A 24,384-nucleotide genomic window follows, 5' to 3' on the forward strand; every position below is an offset into this window, starting at 1 on the left:
GTTTCTGTGGCAATTGTGAATGGGATTGTGTTTCTGATTTGGCTCTGACCTTGAAGGTTGCTGGTGTATAGAAATGCTCCGGGTTTTTGTACATTAATTTTGTATCCGGAAACTTTCCTGAAGTAGTTTATGAGATCAAGGATCTTTTTGGCAGAGAATCTGGGATTTTCTAGGTATAGAATCATATTGTTTGCGAACAGAGATTGTTTGACTTCTATGAAAAACATAGTGAAGTGAAAGCAAACATCTGTCCAGAAGGGAATAGAACAATAAAAATGCCCAATAATAAATTTAATTTGAATGTGAAGAACTAATATGAAGCAAATAACACAGTCATTGTGAGGGATACATAAAAAGACTTGAGGAAATGAGGAGTGGCTTTTTCTTGGATAGAGAAATTCTAAAATAGAAAGATAGATATTGTCCCTAAGTTAAGATGTAATTTAAAAATAATACCTAGTGTCTCACCTGGAATATTTTAGCACCTGATCAAATGATTCTGAAGTTCATCTGAAAGACAAATGTGTCAGAGTAGACAGAAAAGGAAAAAGCAATGAGGGAGGGCAAGCATTATTTCGCATTACAAATATAATTAAGCTACAGCAATTAAAATAGTATACTAGTGGTACAGGTACAAACGACTCAATGGAAGAAAATTAAAATAAGAGAGTTACATACAAAATTGAGTGGGGATGTAGGTGATGATAAAAGAGCCACTTCAAAACAGTGGGTGAAACAGGGATTCAACAAATGATGTAGAGTCCCTACCACTTAATTTTGTTCAGATGGATCAATTTTTTTTTTGTTTGTTTGTTTTGTTTTTTTTTTTTTTTTGAGATGAGGTCTCACTTTGTTGCCCAGGCTGGAGTGCAGTGGCACGATCTCGGCTCACTGCAACTTCCACCTCCCGGGTTCAAGCAATTATCCAGCCTCAGCCTCCCGAGTAGCTGAGACTACAGGCGCGTGCCACTATGCCCGGCTAATTTTTTGAATTTTTAGTAGAGATGGGGTTTCACCATGTTAGCCAGGATGATCTCGATCTACTGACCTCGTGATCTGCCCGCTTGGGCCTCCCAAAGGGCTGGGATTACAGGCGTGAGCCACTGCGCCTGGCCCGGATCAATGATTTTGAATGTACAATCATGCAACAAAAACTATGAATGTCTTATCATATTGGAGTGGGTAAGATCATTGCAAGCATGACAGCAGACTCGCGAAGGCACAAGAAAATGATTTATGAAAGCAGATATAAAATGGGTATTAACATATATAATATTTATTTCTATGATGGCGAATTTGTCCGAAACACATTGTTTTCTTAGAGTAACCTGGGCCTCATATTCTCCAACGCCATTGGAAGTGAAAGGAAGGTTGGGCGGGGGAAAAAGAAAAGTGCTTTGTAAGTTCATTTTCGTTGTCAGAAGAGCTTGTGGTTTAGGTTCTCCACAGAGGCAGGAAACCTTCAGTCACGTGGCAAATACCCCACTGAGTGCGCATGCTGCACAGATCTGTTGCTGCGCATGCGCCTTTCTGCCCACCTTCTGTCTAGGCAGAGCTCTGCAAGGAGAGGTTGTGTCTTCGTTCTTTCCGCCATCTTCGTTCTTTCCAACATCTTCGTTCTTTCTCACTGACCGAGACTCAGCCGGTAGGTCTGCAGAGTGGTCTTCCTGGTAATTTAGTTGTGAGTGAATGTGTGGAGGAGCCAGCGGGCTTAGGACAGGTCCCGTGGCACAGTCCGTGGCTTTGAGGGAAAAGGGCCTCGCGGTGGTCCTCCGCCTTCCCCCAGGTCCTGATGCAGGCGCCATGGGCCGGTAATCGTGGCTGGGCTGGAACGAGGGAGGAAGGTAGGCCGTGGAGGGGGTAGATCGCCTGAAGATGGTGCGAGTCCTGGGGGTGGGTGCTGTTAGAGGTGTCTGAGTCCCGAAAACGCCTGGAACTCTCTGAGGGAGGACAGTTTCTGGACTCTTCGTTAGGGATGCGAGAAGGGATGGTGTGGGTGGTAAGGAAGGGGCCAGGAAACTGGGAACGCTGTGGGCTGGTGACTACGGCCCCGAGGTCTGTAGAGTGCCTGGCAGAGGTGTCCAGTGAGGAACATAACCTTAACTCTGTGTCGCAACTTCTCATCTCAGCCATGGACCTCATGGAAAGGAATGGTTGAGGCTGTGCATTCCAACAAAACTTGATTTTTCGGGGAGTGGGGAGGAGGTGGTGGTGGCCCTAGTATATCAGAGTGGGAGGAAAGCAGCAGTCACTTCAGTTTCAATTTTCTGCCCGTTTTTTTCCTAAATGTGTAAATGATGGAGAGTCTAATTGTGAAGCCAAAACTCAGAAAAGTCCTCTGTCTTTTGCTATGGCGTTAAGGTGTTTTCTGTGCCTCTTCGACTATGATACAAACAAATCTGTCCTTAGTTTGATTGGAAAGCATGCGTACTTATCAATGCTCTGTGACTTAGTTTGAAAATATTTTCAAAATTAAAAAAGTACAAATCACCATTTTGCCATGGAATGTTCATATATATAGCTAAGTTCTTACACACTTTTTCCAAATAACAATATTTTGTTTTCAGTGAGAGATATGAGTGAGCATGTAACAAGATCCCAATCCTCAGAAAGAGGAAATGACCAAGAGTCTTCCCAGCCAGTTGGACCTGTGATTGTGAGTCCTTTAGCATTTGATGTTTTCTATTAACACATTTTATTTTAAAAAATATTTTTGAGCGAGTGTACATGCACTGATACAGGTGTTCCATGCTAATAAAAAATGATGATGGCATCTCATGAAGGCAACTTTGGTTCAGGAATATTATATTCTGGTGTTGCCTTATGGATATGGATATTTTACTCTCTCTCTATATATATATCTATTGGAAAATGTCTTTAGATTTATGATTCGATGCACATATGCATTTGTGTGTTTATATTATTGACTTTTTATTCGCACACACACTTACACCCTTAGGTCCAGCAGCCCACTGAGGAAAAACGTCAAGAAGAGGAACCACCAACTGATAATCAGGGTATTGCACCTAGTGGGGAGATCAAAAATGAAGGAGCACCTGCTGTTCAAGGTGAAGGGAGAGTGGAGAATAATGCTTATGGGTGGTGGAGGTCTATTTATGCATTATATTTTGTGACATACCAGTAACAGGAGGACAGAAAACATTAGGAAGGAATCTTAAACATTTCTTACTGCTGCTGTGCGGAGGGGTGGGACAAGGACACATAAAAAGCCACAAACTTTCCTACCATTTTGACGGAGGCTTTTTATTGATTGGGTATTTGCATGGTTGCCGTAAACCTTTGAGTGTTTTCCAGAGTTCCTGTATGGTTTGTTCAGCTATTTTCTGTTTTTTGTTTTGTTTTGTTTTGTTTTATGCTTCTGTGGAAGAATGGCAGCTTGCAGCTTCCTAGTCTGCCATCTGCGGACATCTCTCATGTATTTTTATAAGATACTTTTTAACACATTTATTAATGCTTCCTCATGCTGTGTAATATACTAAGCGCCGGAGATGTCAGTGCCAAATTTTTGCCTAAAGCTCATAGTCTAGTCAGACTGACTCAAACAAATCACTGATTTAATGTGATAAGAATAAGAACAAATGAGTACAAAAGGAACAAGTAAGTTGTCTAGGGCCAGCCTTGGGAAAGGAAAGGGCAATGTTTGAACATTTCTGCTTTCCTGCTTTTCTGGCAACAGACTTCTGAAATAATTAGCCTACAGGTTTTTATTTCACAATGATGAGGGAATAAATATTATTACCTCGTTCATAGTTCATATTTTAATTCGTAAATTGACGACTTTTTATCTTTAAGGGACTGATGTGGAAGCTTTTCAACAGGAACTGGCTCTGCTTAAGATAGAGGATGCACCTGGAGATGGTCCTGATGTCAGGGAGGGGACTCTGCCCACTTTTGATCCCACTAAAGTGCTGGAAGCAGGTATGTTATTCAATAAGATGCAAATTATAGGGTTTCTATTTTCACAATATTGTATTTTGTGTGACACAGAGGTAAAATTACTGCTACTTTAATATCATACTTCACATCTAAAGATTCTTTGAAGGTAGTTCAGACCCCAAATGGCTGCCTTACACACTATCAGAGATAGAAGGCCAGGTGTGGTGGCTCATGCTGTTAATTCCAGCACTTTGGGAAGCCGAGGCAGAAAGACCACTTGAGGCCAGAACTTCAAGAGATAGAATAAATTGGGTCAAAGCTAATTGAGTTACGATATGAAAGATATGAAACATGCTAAGAGAGTAGATTTTGAGTGTCTTCACAGCTATATGAAATAATGCATATATTAATTAGGTTGAGCCGTTTTACAATGTATGTATATTTTAAAACATCATGTTTTACATGATAAATATATATGATTTCATGTGTCATTTTTAAAAGAAAGATAAGAAAAGGTTTTCTAACTTTTAAATGTAAGTCATGTAACCAACAGCCAATAATTTTCAGGTATTTTTACAGAGGACTGTTTTTTAACAAATACATAACATGTTTATGATAAGCATCAGTTTATGTTGTAATGTTAATTGTGCTGGTAATGTCTTAAAGCTAGCGTGGGGGTTTTCAGTTTACTGTATAAACTGAAATGCTTTTAAGCATGTTGAGAGGCAGGAGTACCAATGAAAATAGTGACAAATGTTCACTACTTAAAGCAACTACATAATGTCTAAACTAGTCCAAAGTAACATTTTAACACTTTTTCACAAGATACACAAAAGTAATACTGACTTTTCTATTTCCTGCACTTAGGCAGTTCTAAACATATTCTATATTCAGAGTGTTATTTCATATCAAAAAATTTAAATGATACTTTAAAAATATATTTTTTTCCTTAGGTTTTTGTTTGGTTGAATTTTTACTAAAAGTATAGGCATATTTTTACTTTCCACTTACACATATAAAATAGATTCACTTGATTTAATTCATTCTGTACTCGAACAGTGTCTTTGTTATTCTACTAGAAAAAGTGGCATGAATTAAAAATATTGTTAATATGCCTGGAAGTCTACCTTCTGAGTTTATTCAGAGGCTAACTGGATGTAAGCTAAAGGGACACCCTCAGGGTTCTGATTTTAGTTAATCAACACTGTAGTTGTATACTTCTAGTGTCATCTAAATAGAAATCTGCTGAATAACGTGCTCTAATTTTATATTTATATTATAGGTGAAGGGCAACTATAGGTTTAAACCAAGACAAATGAAGACTGAAACCAAGAATATTGTTCTTATGCTGGAAATTTGACTGCTAACATTCTCTTAATAAAGTTTTACAGTTTTCTGCAAAGACTTCTGCACTTTTTTGTTAAATTTATTTCTAGATTTTTAATACTCTTGAGAATTGTATCTTTTATGAAAATTTAAATCCTGTGTTTGAGATGGTATATAGAGAGAACATGTTGGTACATTGATTTTCTATCCTGCAACCTTTCTAACTATGCTTATTAATTCCAAAAGTTTACCTCTATATCCTTTTGGATTTTTAACAGACACAATTGTATAATCTTTTAATAATAACAGGTTTCTTTGCCATTTTTAACATTATTCCTTTTATTTACTTTTCTCATTCATGGTAGTGGACAGAATTTCCCAGTATAATTTGAATACAGTTGGTGGTTGTAGACATTCTTGTCTTGTTTCTGATCAGAAACAGATCATTTTCCACATTTCACCTTAATGTTTACTGTACTTTTCTTGTAGGTGCAGTTTATCAGAGTAAGGAAGTTCTATTCCTGGTTTGCTAAGAGTAGTTATCTTCAGTATATGTTGAATTTTATCAAACACTTGTAGTGCATCTATTCAGATGATCATAGGAATTTTTTTTTTTTTTTTGAGACAGAGTCTCACTCTGTCGCCCAGGCTGGAGTGCAGTGGCATGATCTCAGCTCACTGCAACCTCCGCCTCCCGGGTTCAAGCGATTCTCCTGCCTCAGCCTCCCAAGTAACTGGGATTATAGGTGCCCGCCACTGTGCCCGTATTTTTAGTAGAGACGGGGTTTCACCATCTTGGCCAGGCTGGTCTCGAACTCCTGACCTCATGATCCACCCGCCTCGGCCTCCCAAAGTGCTGGGATTACAGGCGTGAGCCACCGCACCCGGCCTTCTTTGCATTATTTCCATGATAATTTCTTTTGCCTCTTTCTCTGTTCTCAGTATCCAGAGATTTTCTTAATCTACATCTATATCACCTTTATTAAAACTTTTAAAATTGTTTCACTTTTGTCTTTCATTGAATGCTTTTTTATTTGCTACCTAATTTCTAAGAGACTTTTAAAACGACTTTTTCTTAATTGATAGCTGAAATAAAAGTATACAGCTTAACCAATTGAGCTCTCCTGTTGATACCAAAGTGAAGGCAACTTCCTAAAACATATTGGATACTCATTTTTTCCCTCTTCTATGGAAGGATGTACACAGCACTGGACTTGTATGTTGCCCATAGACTTGCAAGCACTGCCACCCCCTGCCACCAACTTTGACAACAACCTAAATTTTTTTTTGAGAAGGATAAAAGCCCATGGGGAGCAGGGATTCTTAAGTTGTACTGACTTTGGTTGGAGTGCTTTGAATGAACTAAGTAAGTTCAATTTGGGGCATGCTGAAACTCAGGGAAAACTGATTTCTGCTATTCTCTCCAAGTCATCTGATGACTGTCTTTGATTCAGAAATTTGGGTGTGGAGGCACTCGAAGACAGAAAACTTGGGCAATGAGTAAAGATGGAGAGATCATTGTTTTCTCCACAGAGAAAGATAAACCCATAAAGTCTGGTCTATTTATTCTGAAGTCTACCCATTAAAGGTGATTGAAAATGTTTTTCTGTTGCTCAAGCTTTGGATCATAGACTTTTGTGAGGAACTGTGTGGCTGGGTCAGAAGCCATACTGAAGATGGATGCCAGCCCCCGACCTCCGTCAGCCAGGGATCCTTGAGGTCTAAGAGATATTTATTTCAGCTGCTAGGATCATCTTCTCTGGGTGAGGGATGTGATTATACAAATTAGTCTATGACATAGGGAAACAAAACCTCAGGAGGACCAGAGATTACCATATGTGTCTGTGGGGCAACATGAGGCTAAGAATCCAATGATGAGGCAGCAGCCCCTCCATGTTGCTTGGTACCAGACAGCTCAGATCGATCAGGGTCATAGGCACCTAAAATTCCAAGATTCACAGGATGAGAGTTTGCTGCAGTTGTGTGTAAGGGGGACTCCTCCTTCACAAAAAGTCTGCTTTGGTGGTACTGGTAACAGCCATTGCTTAATTTTCCACCGCTGCTTTTTTCACTTAATTCAACAGTTCTTAAGCCAAACCTTTACCAATGACTCCTCAGCTTTGAAGACTGAAGCCTGTCCCTCCAAGGTAACCCAATTGAGGTATGCTGTCTTCCTGAACATATCATCCAACACTCTTAGCTGTTCCAGAAAAAAGACTGTGTGGCTCCAAGCATACCTTGGATTTGCTGGCATGAGATGCTTTGATGTGCAATAGTTCAATTAGCTGGGTCACATCTGAATTACTTTGTAGTGCCTCAGTTTACTATATGACATTATTTTTAGTATTGAGGCATAATTCAATTACAGAAAAATTCACTCTTTAGTTCTACAGTTTGAGTTTTGACAAATGCATGCAGTATATAAGTACTATCACGATCAAGCTCTAGGATAGTTCTATCATTCCAAAATGTTGTCTTCTGCCCTTTTTTAGTCACCTTCTTTCTCTGTCTCTATCCACTGGCAACCACTGATCTGTTCTCCAACACTATAGTTTGGCCTTTTGTAGAATTTCATAGAAATAAAATCATAGAGTATTTAATTTTTCACATCTGGCTTCTTTTACTTTTCTTTCTTTTACTTTTCACTATCCAGCATGAGATTCATTCATGCTGTCTATCGGTACTTTGTTCCCCTTTATTGATAAACAGTATTTCTCTGTATGGATTTAACACTGTTTGATTAAAGGACAAATTGAAGGACATTTTATTTGTTTTCCTTTCTTGGAGATAAAACCACTGTAAAGATCTATAAGGTGGTTTGAATATTTGTCTCCTCCAAATCTCATGTTGAAATGTGATTCCCAGTGTTGGAGATGGGCTATGATGGGAGGTGATTGGATCATGGAGGCAGATCCCTCCTGAATTGTTTAGCACCATCCCCTTGGTGATAAGTGAGTTCTTGTTCAGTTCACATGAGATATGATTGTTTAAAAGTCTGGGAGGTCCCTTTCACTCTATTGATGCTGCTTACCATGTGTTATGCCTGCTCCCTCTTTGCCTTCTGCCATGGTTGTAAGCTTCCCGAGACCTCCCTAGAAGCAGATGTGGGCGCCAGGCTTTCTGTATAGCCTGCAGAACCATGGGCGAATTAAACCTCCTTCCTTTATAAATTACCCAGCCTCAGGCATTTCTTTATAGCAATGTAAAAATGGCCTAACACAGAAAATTGGGGAGGAGTGGGGCATTGCTATAAAGATAACTGAAAATGTAGAAGTGGCTTTGGAACTGGGTAATGGGCAGAGGTTGGAAGTGTTTGTAGGTCTCAGAAGAAGACAGGAGGACAAGGGAACATTCAGAACTTCTTAGAGATTTGTTAAGTGGTTGTGACCAAAATGCTGATAGAAATATGGACAGTGAAGGCCAGGCTGATAACGTCTCAGATGAAAATGAGGACGTTATTGGGAAGTGGATCAAAGGCCACCCTTGTTACACCCTAGCAAAAAACTTGGCTGCATTGTGTCTATGCTATAGGGATTTGTGGAAGTTTGAACTTAAAAGTGATGACTTAGGGTATCTGGTGGAAGAAATTTCTAAGCAGCCAAGTGTTCAATATGTGGCCTGGCTGCCTCTATCAATGTATGATCAGATACAAAAGCAAATAAATGGCTTAAAGTTGGAACTTATACTTAAAAGGGAAATAGAGCATAAAAATTTGGAAAATTTACAGCCTGGCCTTGTGGTAAAAGAGGAAAGAGCATTTTTCAGGAGAGAACACAAGCCAGTGTTCTCTCTAGCAGCCACTTGCTAGAGAGGTTAGCATAGCTAAAAGGGAGCCAAGTGCTAATATCCAAGACCGTGGTGAAAGGCCTTGAAGGCATTTCAGAGATCTTGGAGACAGCTCCTGCCATCACAGGCCCAGAGACCTAGAAGGAAAGAATGATTTATCGGCCAGGCCCAGGGTCCTGCTGCCCTGTGCAGCTTCGGGACACTGCTTCCCGCATCCTGGCTGCTCCAGCTCCAGCCTCAGTGAAAAGGGCCTCAGATACTGCTCAGGCCACTGTTTTGAAGAGCACAAAGTGCCATAAGCCTTGGCGGTTTCTATGTGGTGTTAAGTCTGTGGGTACACAGGATGCAAGAGTGAAGGAAGCTTGACAGCTTCCCTCTCAATTTCAGAGGATGTACAAGAAAGTCTGGCTGCCTGGACAGAAGCCTGCCACAGAAACAGAGCCCTCACAGAAATCTACTAGGGTAGTGCTGAGGAGAAATACGGGGTTAGAGTCCTCCCCTCACAGAGTCCCCACCAGGGAGCTGCCTAGTGGAGTTCTGTAAAGGAGACTGCCACCCTCCAGACCCCAGAATGGTAGAGCTACCAGCAGTTTGCATGCTGAGCCTGAAAAAGCTGCAGGCACTCAACTCCAACCCATTAACATAGCCACAGGGGCTGCAACCTGCAAGCCACAGGGGTGGAGCTATCTTAGTCTTTGGGAGCCCACCACTTGCACCAGTGTGTCCTGGATGCTGGACATGGAGTCGAAGAAGGTTATTTTGGAGCTTTGAGATTTAATGACTGCCCTGCTGGGTTTCAGACTTACTTGGGGCCTGTAGCCCCCTTTTTTGTCCCATTTCCCCATTTTGGTATGGGAATGTATACCCAATGCCTGGTACCACCATTGTATCTTGGGAGTAAATAAATTGTTTTTTATCTCACAGGCTCATAGGTGGAAGGAACTCATCTCCAGATGAAACTTGGTACTTGGGACTTTTGAGCTAATGCTGGAATGAGTGAAGACTTTGGGAGACTATTGTGAAGGCATGATTATATTTTGAAATGTGAGAAGGACATGAAATTTGGGGGGCTAGAGGAGGAATGATATGGTTTTGATGTTTATCCCCTCTAAATCTCATGTTGAAATGTGATTCCCAGCGTTGGAGGTGGGCCCTGGTGGGAGGTGATTAGATCATTGGGGCAGATGCCTCATGAATGGTTTAACACCATTCCCTTGGTGATAAGCAAGTTCTCACTCATTTAGTTCACACAAGATCTGGTTATTTAACAGTCCAGGTTCTCCCCACTTTGTTCTCTTGCTCCCTCTTGCCATGTGATATGCCTGTTCCTTCTTTGCCTTCCAACATGATTATAAGCTTCCTGAGCCCTCCCCAGAAGCAGATGCGAGCACCATGCTTCCTGTGCAGCCTGCAGAACTATGGGCTAATTAAACCTCTTTTCATTATAAATAACTCAGCCTCAAGTATTTATGGCAAAAACAAAAATGGTCTAACACAATCTATCTGGGATTTTTGGAGACATAACTTTTCTCCTTTTTGAATAAATATCTAGGAGAGGGATTGCTAGATCATATAATCAATGTATATTTAAGTCTATGCAATGAATTGAATGTGTCCCCACCGAATTCATATGTTGAAATCTCAATGGGATGGTATTAAAAGATGAGATATTTGGGAGGTAATTAGGTATTGAGGGTGGGACCCTCATGAATGGGATTAGTGCCCATATAAAAGGGACCCTAGAGAGCTCTGTTACCCTTTTTCCACCATCTGAGTTTATGGTCAGAAGTCAACTGTCTGAAACTCAGAAGAAAGCTCTGACCAGAACTCTAATATCCTGGAACCCTGATCTCAAACTTCTAGTCCCTAGAACTGTGAGAAGTAAGTTTCTGTTGTTTATAAGCCATCTACTCTATGATATTTTGTTATAGCAACCTGAATGGACTAAGACAGTTTATTAGAAATTGCCAAACTGTTTTCCAAAGTGTCTCTGTCATTTTACATTCCCACAAGCAATGTGTAAGAGTGTTAGTTGCACTGTATCCTAGGTAGTACTTGGTATTGTCAGTTTTAAAAAAATATATTTTTCTTCACATTTTAGGTGTTGAGAGATTTTAATATTAATGGATGTTGAATCTTATTAAATGCTTTTTTTCTCATTTACTGAGATTATCATATAACATGCAAATGTGAAGGAACCCTGAATTTTCAATATAAACCTCATTTCCTCATTGTACTTTTGCATTTTTAATATATTACTGAATTCAATTAGCCAATATTTTGAGAATTTTTGTGTGAGTATTCATAAGAAATATTGGTGTGTAGTTTCATTTATTTGTAATGTCTTTATATTGTTTTGTATCAGAGTAATGATGAATTCATAAAATTAGTTGGGAAGTATATTAGGGTTTTCTAGAGGGACAGAACTAACAGGATAGGTGTATATGTGAAGGAAAGCTTATTAAAGAGTATTGACTCACACAGTCACAAGGTAAAACCCCAAAATAGGCCATCTATTTGCAAGCTGAGGAGCAAGGAAGCCAGTCTGAGTCCAAAAACCTCAAAAGTAGGAAAGCCAACAGTGCAGCCTTCAGTCTGTGGCTGAAGGTCCAAGAGCCCCTGGCAAACCACTGGTGTAAATCTGAGTATAAAAGCTGAAGAACTTGAAGTCTGATGTTTAAGGGCAGGAAACATTCAGCACGGGAGAAAGATGAAGGCTGGGAGACTCAGCAAGTCCACTCCTTCCACCTTCTTCTGCCTGCTTTTTTTTTCTAGCTGCACTGGCAGCTGATTAGATGGTGCCCACCCAGATTGAGGGTGGGTCTGCCTCTCTCAGTCCACTGACTCAAATGTTAACGTCCTTTGGCAATACCCTCACAGACACCCCCAAGAACAATACTTTGCATCCTTCAGTCTAATCAATTTGACACTCTATATTAATCATCACAGGAAATATTTTTGTCTGTTCCATTTTCTTGAAGAGTTTGGATGAATTGTCAATATTTCTTCTTTAGGGGTTTAACAGAAGCCACTTATGCCTGGCATTATTTTGCTGGGACTTCAAAAAATGTGGATTCACAGAAAGAGGTTGAAACCCTAAATAGACAAATATCAACTCTTGAAATGAAATCAGCAATAAAGAACCTACCAACCAAAAAATGCTCTGGATCACGTGGACAGTTACATTCTACCAGATGTACAAAGAAGAACTGATACCAATCTTACTGAAACTATTCCAAAAAAATCGAGGAGGAGGAGTGTTTCCTCCATAACTCATTCTATGAAGCCAGCATCAGCCTGATACCAAAATTTTGCAGAGACACAATGAAAAAAGAGAAATTCAGACCATTATCCCTCATGAGCATAGATGCAAAAATCCTCAACAAAATACTAGGAAATCAAATGCAGCAGCACATCAAAAAGTTAATATACCATGATCAAGTAGGCTTTACTCCTGGAATGCAAGGCTGTTTCAACATACGCAAATTAATAAATATGATTCACTACACAAACAGAACTAAAAACAAAAACCATATGATCATCTCAATAGATGCAGAAAAAGGTTTGATAAAATCCAATATCACTTCATGATAAAAATTCTATCAATATACTAGGCATCAAAGGAACATATCTCAAAATAATAAGAGCAATCTATGACAACCCTACAGCCAATATAATATTGAATGAGCAAAAGCTCAAACGTTCCCCTTGAGAAATGGAACAAGACAAGGATGCGTACTCTCTCTGCTCCTATTCAACATAAATACTGGAAGTCCCAACCAGAGCAATCAGGAAAGAGAAAGAAAAGGCATCTGAATAGAAAAAGAAGTCAAACTAGTTATCTTCAGTGACAATATAATTCTATACCAAGAAAATCCTAAAGACTCTGCCAAAACACTCCTAGAATCCATAAGTGACTTTTGTAAAGTTTCACGATACAAATTCAATGTACAAAATATCAGTAGCATTTCTATACACCAGCGTCTAGGCTGAGAGTGAAATCAAGAACATAATCCCACTAACAATAGCCACAAAGAAAATGAAATACCTAGGAATACAGCTAACCAAGGAGGTTAGTTAATACAAGGAATACAACTAAACAAGGAAAACTATAAAACACTGCTGAAAGAAATCAGAGATGAATTTCCACAAATAAATGGAAAAACATTCCATGCTCATGGATTGGAAGAATCAATATTGTAAAAATGGCCTTAATTCCCAAAGCAATTTGCAGGTTCAATGCTACTGCTATCAAACTATCAATGATATTCTTCACAGAATTTTTAAAAACCATTCTAAAATTCATGTGGCACCAAGAAAGAGCCTGAATAGTCAAAACAGTTCTAAGCAAAAAGAACAGAACCAGAGACATCACACTATACTGACTTCAAACTATACTATAAAGTGACAGTAACCAAAACAGCATAGTACTTGTACAAAAACAGACACATACATTAATGGAACACAATAGAAAACTCAGTAAAATAGCCTCACACCTATAACCATTTGATCTTTGACAAAGTCGACAAAAACAAGCAATGGGGAAAAGACTCCTTATTTGATAAATAGTGCTTGGATAACTGACTAGGCATATGCAGAATATTGAAGCTGTACTTCTATCTTTCACCATATACAAAAATTAACTCAAAATGGACTAAATATTTAAATGTAAGACCTGAAACTATAAAAATCCTGGAAGACAACTTAGGAAATACTCAACACTGGTTTTTGCAAAGAATTTTTGGCTGAGCCTCCAAAAACAATTGCAACAAAAAACAAAAATAGATGAGTGGGACCTAATTAAATATCTTTTGCACAGTAAAATAAACATCAACAGAGCAAATAGTCAACTTACAGAATGAGAGAAGATATTTATAAACTATGCATCTGACAAGGGCCCAATATCCAGAATCTATAGGGAACTTAAAGAAATCAACAAACAAAAACCAAACAATCCCATTAAAAATGGGCAAAGGACATGAACAGATACTTATCAAAAGAAGACACACAAGTGACCAACAAACATGAAAAAATGCTCAGCATTACTAATCATCAAAGAAATGCAAATCAAAACCACAATGATATACCATCTCCACCAGTTGGAATGGCTATTTTTAAAAAATTGAAAACAAACAGATGCTGGTGAGGCTTTGAAAGAAAAAGAATGCTTATACAATGTTGGTATGACTGTAAATTAGACCATCCATTGTGGAAAGCAGTCTGAAGATTTCTCAAAGAACTTAAAGCAGAACTACCATTTGACCCAGGAATTCCATTACTTGATATATACCCTATAGAAAATAAATCATCATATTGAAAAAACACATGCACTCATATATTCATCACTGCACTATTTACAATAGCAAAGACATGAAATCAACCCAGGTTCTCCTCAATGATAGATTGGATAAAGAAAATGTGGTACATATACACCATGGAATACTATGCAGCTGTAAAAAGAATGAAATACCACCTTTACAGCAACATGGATGCATCTGGAGGCCATAATCCTAAGCAAATTAGCACAAGAACAGAAAACCAAATACTGCATGTTCTTATTTATAAGTGGTAGCTAAGCATTGAACTCACATGGTCATAAATATGGGAACAATAGACACTGTGGACTACAAAAGGGTGGGGTGGGATGTAAAAAAGTATGTATTGGGTACTATGCTTACTACCAGGTGACAGAATCCATACTCCAAATCTGAGCATCATGAAATATTCCCATGCAACAAATCTGCACATGTACCTGTTGCATCTAAAATAAAACTTGAAATTAAAAAAAATGGATTCAAATAATTTAATAGATCTGGGTATTCTGAGGTTATTTTTTCTTATGAGCCTTGATAATACTGTGTCTTTTAAGGAATTTTTAAAATTTTATTGAAGTTGTTGAATTTATAGGCATAAAGGTGTTTGTGTTATCCCTTTATTATAGTTCAATATCTGTCAAGTCTATTGAGATGCTTTCCCTATTACATTTATGATATTGATAATTTATTACCCCTAGGATTTTTGTTTCTTTGAGGAAATTACTCTAGCTGGAGTTTTATTAATTTTATTAATCTTTCCAAGGAATAGCTTTTAGCTTAATTGATTTTCTTTCTTGTTTTTTTTTTTTTTTTTATTATACTTTACGTTCTGGGATACATGTGCAGAATGTGCAGGTTTGTTACATGGGTATACATGTGCCATGGCGGTTTGTTGCACCCATCAACCCGTCATCTAGGTTTTAAGCCCCACATGCCTTAGGTATTTGTCCTAATGCTCTCCCTCTCCTTGTCCCCCACCCCACGACAGGCCCCAGTGTGTGATGTTTCCCTCCCTGTGTCCATGTGTTCTCATTGTTCAACTCCCACTTATGAGTGAGAACATGTGGTGTTTGGTTTTCTGTTCCTGTGTTAGTTTGCTCTCCTGTTTGAGGTGTCTCTTGACCCCTGCTGGGAGGTCTCTCCCAGTCAGGAGGCATGGGGGTCAGGGACCCACTTGAGGAGGCCATCTGTCCCTCAGCAGAGCTCCAGCGCTGTGCTGGGAGATCTGCTGCTCTCTTCAGAGCAGGCAGACAGGAACGTTTAAGTCTGCTGAAGCTGTGCCCACAGCCACCCCTTCCCTCAGGTGCTCTGTCCCAGGGAGATGGGAGTTTTATCTATAAACCCCCGACTGGGGCTGCTGCCTTTCTTTCAGAGATGCCCTGCCCAGACAGGAGGAATCTAGAGAGGCAGCCTGGCTACAGGGGCTTTGCACCCCACTGTGGTGGGCTTTTCCCAGTCCGAACTTCCTGGTGGCTTTGTTTACACTGTAATGGGAAAACCGCCTACTGAAGCCTCAGTAATGATGGACGCCCTTCTCCCAACCAAGCTCAAGTGTCCCAGGTCGACTTCAGACTGCTGTGCTGGCAGCGAGAATTTCAAGCCAGTGGATCTTAGCTTGTTGGTCTTTGTAGGGGGTGGGATCCAGTGCGCAAGACCACTCAGCTCCCTAGCTTCAGCCCCCTTTCTAGGCGAGTGAACGGTTCTGTCTCGCTGGTGTTCCAGGCACCACTGGGGTACAAAAAAAAACTCCTGCAGCTAGCTCGGTGTCTGCCCAAATGGCTGCCCAGCTTTGTGCTTGAAACCCAGGGCCCTGGTGGTGTAGGCACCCGAGGGAATCTCCTGGTCTGTGGGTTGTGAAGACAGTGGGAAAAGCATAGTATCTGGGCCGGATAGCTCTGTCCCTCACAGCACAGTCCCTCGTGGCTTCCCTTGGCTAGGGGAGGGAGTTCCCTGACCCCTTGTGCTTCCCAGGTGAGGCAATGCCCCACCCTGATTCTGCTTGCCCTCCATGGGCTGGGCTGCACCCATTGTCTAACCAGTCCCAATGAGATGAGCTGGGTACCTCAGTAGGAAATGCAGAAATCACCCGTCTTGTGCGTTGGTCCATTGATCTTGCTGGGAGCTGCAGACCAGAGCTATTCCTATTTAGTCATCTTGCCTGGATGGCCACATTTTTTAATCCATTTATCTGTTGATGGACACAGATTACTTCCAAATCTTAGCTATTGTGAACAATGCTGCAACAAACATGGAAGTATAGCTATCCCTTCCATGTACTGGTTTCCTTTCTTTTGGGTATATTTCCAGCAGTGGGATTGCTAGATCATATGGTAGCTCCATTTTTAGTGTTTTTTTTGTTGCTGTTGTTTGTTTGTTTTTTGATGGAGTTTCACTCTGTCTCCTAGGCTGGAGTGCAGTGGCATGATCTTGGCTCACTGCATCCTCCGCCTCCTGGGTTTAAGCAATTCTCTGCCTCAGCTTCCTGAGTAGCTGGGATTTCAGGTGCCCACCACCACGCCCAGCTAATTTTTTTGTATTTTTAGTAGAGACAGGGTTTCACCATCTTGGCCAGGCTGATCTTGAACTCCTGACCTTGTGATCCACCTGCCTCAGCATCCCGAAGTGCTGGGATTACAGGTGTGAGTCACTGCACCTGGCTTATTTTTACTTTTTTGAGGAACCTCCAAACTCTTCTCCATAGTACTTGTACCAGTGTATATTCCCACTAACAGTGTATAAGGGTTCCCTTTTCTTCACATTCTTGCCAGTATTTGTTATTGCCTGTCTTTTGGATATTAGCCATTTTAAGTGGGGTGAGATGATAACTCATTGTACCTTTTATTTGCATTTCTCTGATGATCAATGATGTCGAGCACCTTTTCATGTGCCTATTTGCCATTTGTATGTCTTCTTTTAAAAAATATCTAGTCAAATCATTTTTGGTTGGATTATTAGATGTTTTCCCATAAAGTTGTTTGAGTTCCTCGTATATTATGGTTATTAATCCCTTGTCAGATGGGTTGTTTGCTAATATTTAGTTTTCTCCCATTCTGTGGGTTGTCTTCTCACTTTATTGATTGTATCCTTTACTGTGCAGAAATTTTTTTAACTTGATGGGATCCCATTTGTCCATGTTTGCTTTGGTTACTGTGCTTGTGGGATATTGCTCAATAAATCTTTGTCCAGACCAATATCCTAGAGATATTTCCTTATGTTTTCCTGTAATAGTTTCATACTTTAAGGTCTTAGTTGTAAGTCTTTAATCCATTTTGATTCGATTTTTATATATGGCAAAAGATAGGGGTATAAGTTTCATATTTTTTTCTGCATATGGATATCCAGTTTTCCCAGCACAACTTATTGAAGAGACTGTCTTTTTCCCAGTGCATGTTCTTGGGAACTTTGTTGAAAATGACTCCACTGTAGATGTGTGGATTTGCTTCTGGATTCCCTATTCTGTTCCATTGGTCTATGTGTGTGTTTTTATGCCAGTACCATGCTGTTTTGGTTACTATAGCTCTGTGGTATAATTTGAAGTCAGGTAATGTGATTCCTCCAGTTTTGTTCTTTTTCTTAGGATAGCTTTGGCTATTCTGGGTCTTTTGTAGTTGTATATAAATTTTAGAATTGTTTTTTCTATTTCTTTGAAGAATGTCATTGGTATTTTGCTAGGGATTGCATTGAATCTGTAGATTGCTTTGGTTAGTATGGACATTTTTAACAATATTGATTCTCCTCATACATGTACATAAAATATATTTTTTTCATTTTTTGATATCCTCTTCAATTTCCTTCAACAGTGTTTTATAATTTTCACTATAGAGATCTTTCACTTTTTTGGTTAATTCCTAGTATTTAATTTTACGTGTGGCTACTGTAAGTGGAAATACTTTTTAAAATTTCTTTTTCACATTGTTCACTGTTGGCATATAGTAATGCTACTGATTTTTGTATGTTTATTTTGTATCATGCAACTTTACTGAATTTGTTTATCAGTTCTAATAGTTTCCTTGTGGAGTCTTTAGGTTTTTCCAAATATAAGTTCATATTATCAGCAAACAAAGATAATTTGACTTCTTCCTTTTCAATTTGCATATCCTTTGTATGCTTCTTCTGTCAGATTGCTCTAGCTAGTACTTCCAGTACTATGTTGAATAACAATGGTGACAGTGGGCATTCTCATCATGTTCTAGATATTAGATGAAACGACTTCAGGTTTCAGTTTTTCCCCATTCAGTATGATACTAGCTGTTGGTCTGCTGTATATTTTTTTTAAATATAGGTCAATAGCTTTTCAGGAACAGGTGGTTTTTGGTTACAGGGGTTTCCCCTTAGTGGTGATTTCTGAGATGTTGGTGTACCAATCGCCTGGGCAGTGTACACTGTGCCCAATGTGTAGTCTTTTATCCCTTACCCCCTCCTACCTTTCACCCTCCGAGCCCCCAGAGTCCATTATATCATTCTTATGCCTTTGTGTCTTCATAGTGTAGCTCCCACTTATAAGTGAGAACATAAGATATTTGGTTTTCCATTACTGAGTTACTTCACTTAGAATAAAGTTCTCTAACTCCATCGAAGTTGCTGTGAATTTCATTATTTCATTCCATTTTATAGCTGAGTAGTATTCCATGGTATAGATATACCACATTTTTCTTTATCTACACATTGGTTGATGGGCATTTAGGCTGGTTCCATACTTTTGCAATTGTGAATTGTACTACTATAAACATGCATGTGCAACTGTCTTTTTCATAAAGACTTATTTTCCTTTGGGTAAATATTGAGTAGTGGGATTACTGTACCAAATGGTAGTTCTATTTTTTGTTCTTAAGGATTCTCCATAGTGTTTTCCATAGTGGTTGTACTAGTTTACATTCCCACCAGCAGTGTAAAATTGTTCCCTTTTCACCACACCCATGCCAAAATCTATTATGTTTTTGTTTTTTAATTATGGCCATTCTTGCAGGAGTAAGGTGGTATCTCATGGTTTTAATTTGTATTTCCATGATAATTAGTGATGCTGAGCATTTTTATGTGTGTTTTATAACTATTTGTATATCTTCTTTTGAGAATTTTCTATTCATGTCCTTTGCCCACTTTTTGATGCAAGTGTTTGTTATTTGCTGATTTGAGTTCCTTGTAGATTCTAGATATTAGTCCTTTGTCAGATGTTTAGTTTGTGACCATTTTCTTCCATTCTGTGGGTTGTCTGTTTACTCTGCTGATTATTTCTTTTGCTGTGCAGAAGCATTTTAGTTTAATTAGGTCCTATCTATTTATTTTTGTTTTTGTTGCATTTGCTTTTTCGTTCTTGGCCATGAACTCTTTACCTAAGCCAATGTCTAGAAGATTTTTTCTGATGTTGAGCATTTTCTCATACACTTATTTGTCATTTGTGTGTCTTCTTTTGAGAAATGTCTTTTCAGGTCCTTTGCCCTTTCCTAAATTGTTTTTCTGCTATTGAGTTGTATGAAGTCTTCATACACTTCAGATATTAACCTTTTATCAGATAAATGATTTGCAAATATTTTTTCCCATTCCATAAGTTGCCTTTTCACTCTGTTGATTTTTCCTTAAGGGCCAGAAATGTGTCTGATTCAAAGAGCCTGGCACAGAGTACAGAGATCACATGATCTCACTCACATGTGGAGGCTAAAATAAGTTCCTCTCATAGAAGTAAAAAGCAGAACAGAAGTTATTAGAGGCTGGAAAGAGTAGGAAAAAGGTGGGGATAGAGAAAGATTTGTTAAAGAACATAACATTTCAGTTAGTTCTAGTGTTTTATGGCACTGTAAGATGACTTCAATATAACAATGGTATATTATATATTTTCAGATAGATAGAGGATATTGAATGTTCCCAGCATAAAGAAATGATAAATATTTATGATGAGTATACGATGTTCATCTGATTATTATATATTGTATGTGTCAAAACATCACTATGTACCCCATAATATGTGCAATTATTATGTGTTAATTAAAAGTAAGTAAATAAATTTTTAGAAGGAAGTTCTTTTTAAAAGTTCAATGACATTCTGGAAGAATAAAAAGCCTGAAGATCCTAGGGAACACTTTTGGGAAGTGCTAGTCAGGTCTGCAGGGCATCCTCAAAGGGTGCTAGCTGATCACAACACCCAAGTACTTTTGAATATCTGGAAAGCCTTCCCAAGAAGGATGGTTGCAAACAAGCCCAGACAGTGAACGCTACAATAAATACCTAACTCTTCAATGCCCAGACACAGAAGAACATCTGCTAGCATCAACGCCATCCAGGAAAACATGACCTCACCAAATAAACTAAATAAGGCAACAAAGACCAATTTTAGAGAAATAGAAACATGTGACCTTTCAGACACAGAATTCGAAATAGTTGTGTTGAGAAAAAAAGAAATTCAAGAAAACACAAAGAAGGAATTCAGAATTCTATCGGATAAATTTAACAAAGAGATTGAAATAATTAAAAAGAATCAAGCAGAAATACTCAAGCTGAAAAATGCAATTGACATACAGAAGAATGCATCAGAGTCCTTTAATAGCAGAATGGCTCAAGCAGAAGAATTAGTGAGCTTGAAGACAGGCTATTGGAAAATACACAGTTAGATGAGACAAGAAAAAAGAACAAAAAAGAATGAAGCACAACTACAGGATTTTAAAAATAGCCTCAAAGGGCAAACCTAAGAGTTATTGGCCTTAAAGAAGAGGTAGAGAAAGAGATGAGGTAGAAAGTTTATTGAAAGGGATAATAACAAAGAACTTCCCAAAAGTAGAGAAAGGTATCAATATCCAAATACAAGAAGGTTATAGAACACCAGGCAGATTTACCCAAAGAATATTACCTCAAGGCATTTAATAATCAAACTCTCCAAGGTCAAGGACAAAGAAAGGATCCTAAAAGCAGGAAGAGAAAATAAACAAATAACATACAATGGAGCTCCAATATGTCTGGCAGCAGACTTTTCAGTGGAAACCTTACAGGCCAGGAGAGAGTGACATGACGTATTTAAAGTGGTAAAGGAAAAACTTTTATCCTAGAATAGTATATCTGGTGAAAATATCCTTCAAACATGAAGAAAAAATACTTTCCCAGGCAAACAAAAGCTGAGGGATTTTTATTAACACCAGACATGTCCTACAAGAAATGCTAAACAGAGTACTTCAATCAGAAAGAAAAAGATGTTAATGAGCAATAAGAAATCATCTGGAAGGGGGAGCAGCAAAGATGGCCAAAGAGAATCAGCTCTGCTCTGTGGCTCCCACCAAGAACAATAAAAACGGTGAGTGAATTCTGCATCTTCAATTGAGGGACCAAGGTTCTCTCAATGGGACTGCCTAGGTGGTTGTTGCAGTCTACAAAGAGTGAGGAAAAGCAGGGTGGAGCAAGGGCCTATCTAGGAGCTGAACAGAGCAAAGTGATCTCCCTTCCCTGGCCAACGGTGGTGGTGAAGGATTGTGCTACCCGTCCCTTAAAACAATGCTTTTTCCATGGATCCTTGGAACCCGCAGATCAGGAGGTCCCCTCATGAGCACATGCCACCAGGGCCTTGGGGCCCAAGTGCAGAGCTGTGGAGATGCAAGGTGGTGGTTGGGTGGGCAGCCACTCGAGCAAGCATTGAGGTACATAAGTATTTGCAAACTCTGGCTCTGGGAACTCCAGTGAGGCAGGAAATCAGTCCATTCCTATGAGGAAGCCAAGCAGCCTAATTCCCATGGAACTCCACAAGCTAAAACTCACGGGTTTGGAATTCCCACCGACCAGTGCAGCAGGCTGGAAACTGCCTAAGAAGACTGAGTTCCCAGTGGGGAGGGGGGCCACCATCACTGTGGCTCCAGTCAGCCGTTTTCCCCTGCTGCCAGGGCCGGTGAGACTGGGCAGTTTGGACCAGGGGCAATTCCCCACAGCATAGCACAGTGGTTGGGTCAGTTTGTGGCCAGACTGCTTCTTTAAGCGAGACCCTGATCCACTCCTTCTTATTGGGCAGGGCCTCCCTGTGGGAATTCCAGCAATCCCAGCCAGGAGTTTATGGACAGAAAGCTGATATCCCTGAGAGGGACCCTTAGGAGGAGGGAAGGCTGCAATATCACGGATCAGTGGTCTTAATTTTTTCTGCTGGCTGACTCTGAAGAGTCAGGGCAGCCTGGACAAGGGGGATTCCCCCAAGCACAGCATACTTGCTTCACTAAGATGAATCCAGGAGCTGGTTTTTTGAAAAGATCAACAAAATCGATAGACTGCTACCAAGACTAATAAGGAAGAAAAGAGAGAAGAATCAAATAGACGCAATAAAAAATGATAAAAGGGGATATCACCACCAATTCCACAGAAACACAAACTACCATCAGAGAATACTACAAACACCTCTATGCAAATAAACTAGAAAATCTAGAAGAAATGGAGAAATTCCTCGATACATACACCCTCCCAAAACTAAACCAGGAAGAAGTTGACTCTCTGAATAGACCAATAACAGGCTCTGAAATTGTGGCAATAATCAATAGCTTACCAACCAAAAAAAGTCCAGGACCGGATGGATTCACAGCCGAATTCTACCAGAGGTACAAGGAGGAGCTGGTACCATTCCTTCTGAAGCTATTGCAATCAATAGAAAAAGAGGGAATCCTCCCTAACTCATTTTATGAGGCCAGCATCATCCTGATACCAAAGCCTGGCAGAGACACAACCAAAAAAAAGAATTTTAGACCAATATCCTTGATGAACATTGATGCAAAAGTCCTCAATAAAATACTGGCAAACCGAATCCAGCAGCACATCAAAAAGCTTATCCACCATGATCCAGTGGGCTTCATCCCTGGGATGCAAGGCTGGTTCAACATACGCAAATCAATAAATGTAATACAGCATATAAACAGAACCGGAGACAAAAAACACATGATTATCTCAATAGATGCAGAAAAGGCCTTTGACAAAATTCAACAACGCTTCATGCTAAAAACTCTCAATAAATTAGGTATTGATGAGACGTATCTCAAAATAATAAGAGCTATCTATGACAAACCCACAGCCAATATCATACTGAATGGGCAAAAACTGGAAGCATTCCCTTTGAAAACTGGCACAAGACAGGGATGCCCTCTCTCACCACTCCTGTTCAACATAGTGTTGGAAGTTCTGGCCAGGGTAATTAGGCAGGAGAAGGAAATAAAGGGTATTCAATTAGGAAAAGAGGAAGTCAAATTGTCCCTGTTTGCAGACGACATGATTGTGTATCTAGAAAACCCCATTGTCTCAGCCCAAAATCTCCTTAAGCTGATAAGCAACTTCGGCAAAGTCTCAGAATACAAAATCAATGTACAAAAATCACAAGCATTCCTATACACCAATAACGGACAAACAGAGAGCCAAATCCTGAGTGAACTCCCATTCACAATTGCTTCAAAGAGAATAAAGTACCTAGGAATCCAACTTACAAGGGACATGAAGGACCTCTTCAAGGAGAACTATAAACCACTGCTCAATGAAATAAAAGAGTATTCAAACAAATGGAAGAACATTCCATGCTCATGGCTAGGAAGAATCAATATCATGAAAATGGCCATACTGCCCAAGGTAATTTATAGATTCAATGCCATCCCCATCAAGCTATCAACGACTTTCTTCACAGAATTGGAAAAAACTACTTTAAAGTTCATATGGAACCAAAAAAGAGCCCGCATCGCCAAGTCAATCCTAAGCCAAAAGAACAAAGCTGGAGGCATCACACTACCTGACTTCAAACTATACTACAAGGCTACAGTAACCAAAACAGCATGGTACTGGTATCAAAACAGAGATATAGATCAATGGAACAGAACAGAGCCCTCAGAAATAATGCCGCATATCTACAACCATCTGATCTTTGACAAACCTGAGAAAAACAAGCAATGGGGAAAGGTTTCCCCATTTAATAAATGATGCTGGGAAAACTGGCTAGCCATATGTAGAAAGCTGAAACTGAATCCCTTCCTTACACCTTATACAAAAATTAATTCAAGATGGATTAAAGACTTAAATGTTAGACCTAAAACCATAAAAACTCTAGAAGAAAACCTAGGCAATACCA

General features: G+C 39.5%; 1 protein-coding gene across 2 annotated transcripts; it reads left to right on the forward strand.

Moving 5' to 3' along the window:
- The first annotated feature begins 1,538 nt into the window (after positions 1-1,538).
- PAGE5 (PAGE family member 5) lies at positions 1,539-5,301 on the forward strand. 2 transcript variants are annotated; one of them, NM_130467.5, is made up of 5 exons: positions 1,539-1,844; positions 2,568-2,656; positions 2,960-3,068; positions 3,814-3,939; positions 5,180-5,301. In NM_130467.5, exons 1-5 carry the CDS (start codon positions 1,793-1,795, stop codon positions 5,194-5,196), a joined length of 393 nt encoding a protein of 130 aa, NP_569734.2. In that variant the 5' UTR covers positions 1,539-1,792; the 3' UTR covers positions 5,197-5,301. The 2 variants fall into 2 exon arrangements, with proteins under 2 accessions (NP_569734.2, NP_001013453.1); NM_001013435.3 differs by having other exon boundaries at positions 1,539-1,645.
- Positions 5,302-24,384: the final 19,083 nt, after the last annotated feature.

This window comes from Homo sapiens, chromosome X, assembly GCF_000001405.40.
Source record: "Homo sapiens chromosome X, GRCh38.p14 Primary Assembly".
NCBI lineage: Eukaryota > Metazoa > Chordata > Mammalia > Primates > Hominidae > Homo > Homo sapiens.

Coding starts and splice junctions, on each gene's coding strand:
- PAGE5 (NM_130467.5), top strand. CDS start 1,793: ATGCAGGCGCCATGGGCCGGTAATCGTGGCTGGGCTGGAACGAGGGAG. Junction 1,845..2,567: donor GGCTGGAACGAGGGAGGAAG/GTAGGCCGTGGA, acceptor TTTTGTTTTCAG/TGAGAGATATGAGTGAGCAT. Junction 3,069..3,813: donor AGGAGCACCTGCTGTTCAAG/GTGAAGGGAGAG, acceptor TTTATCTTTAAG/GGACTGATGTGGAAGCTTTT.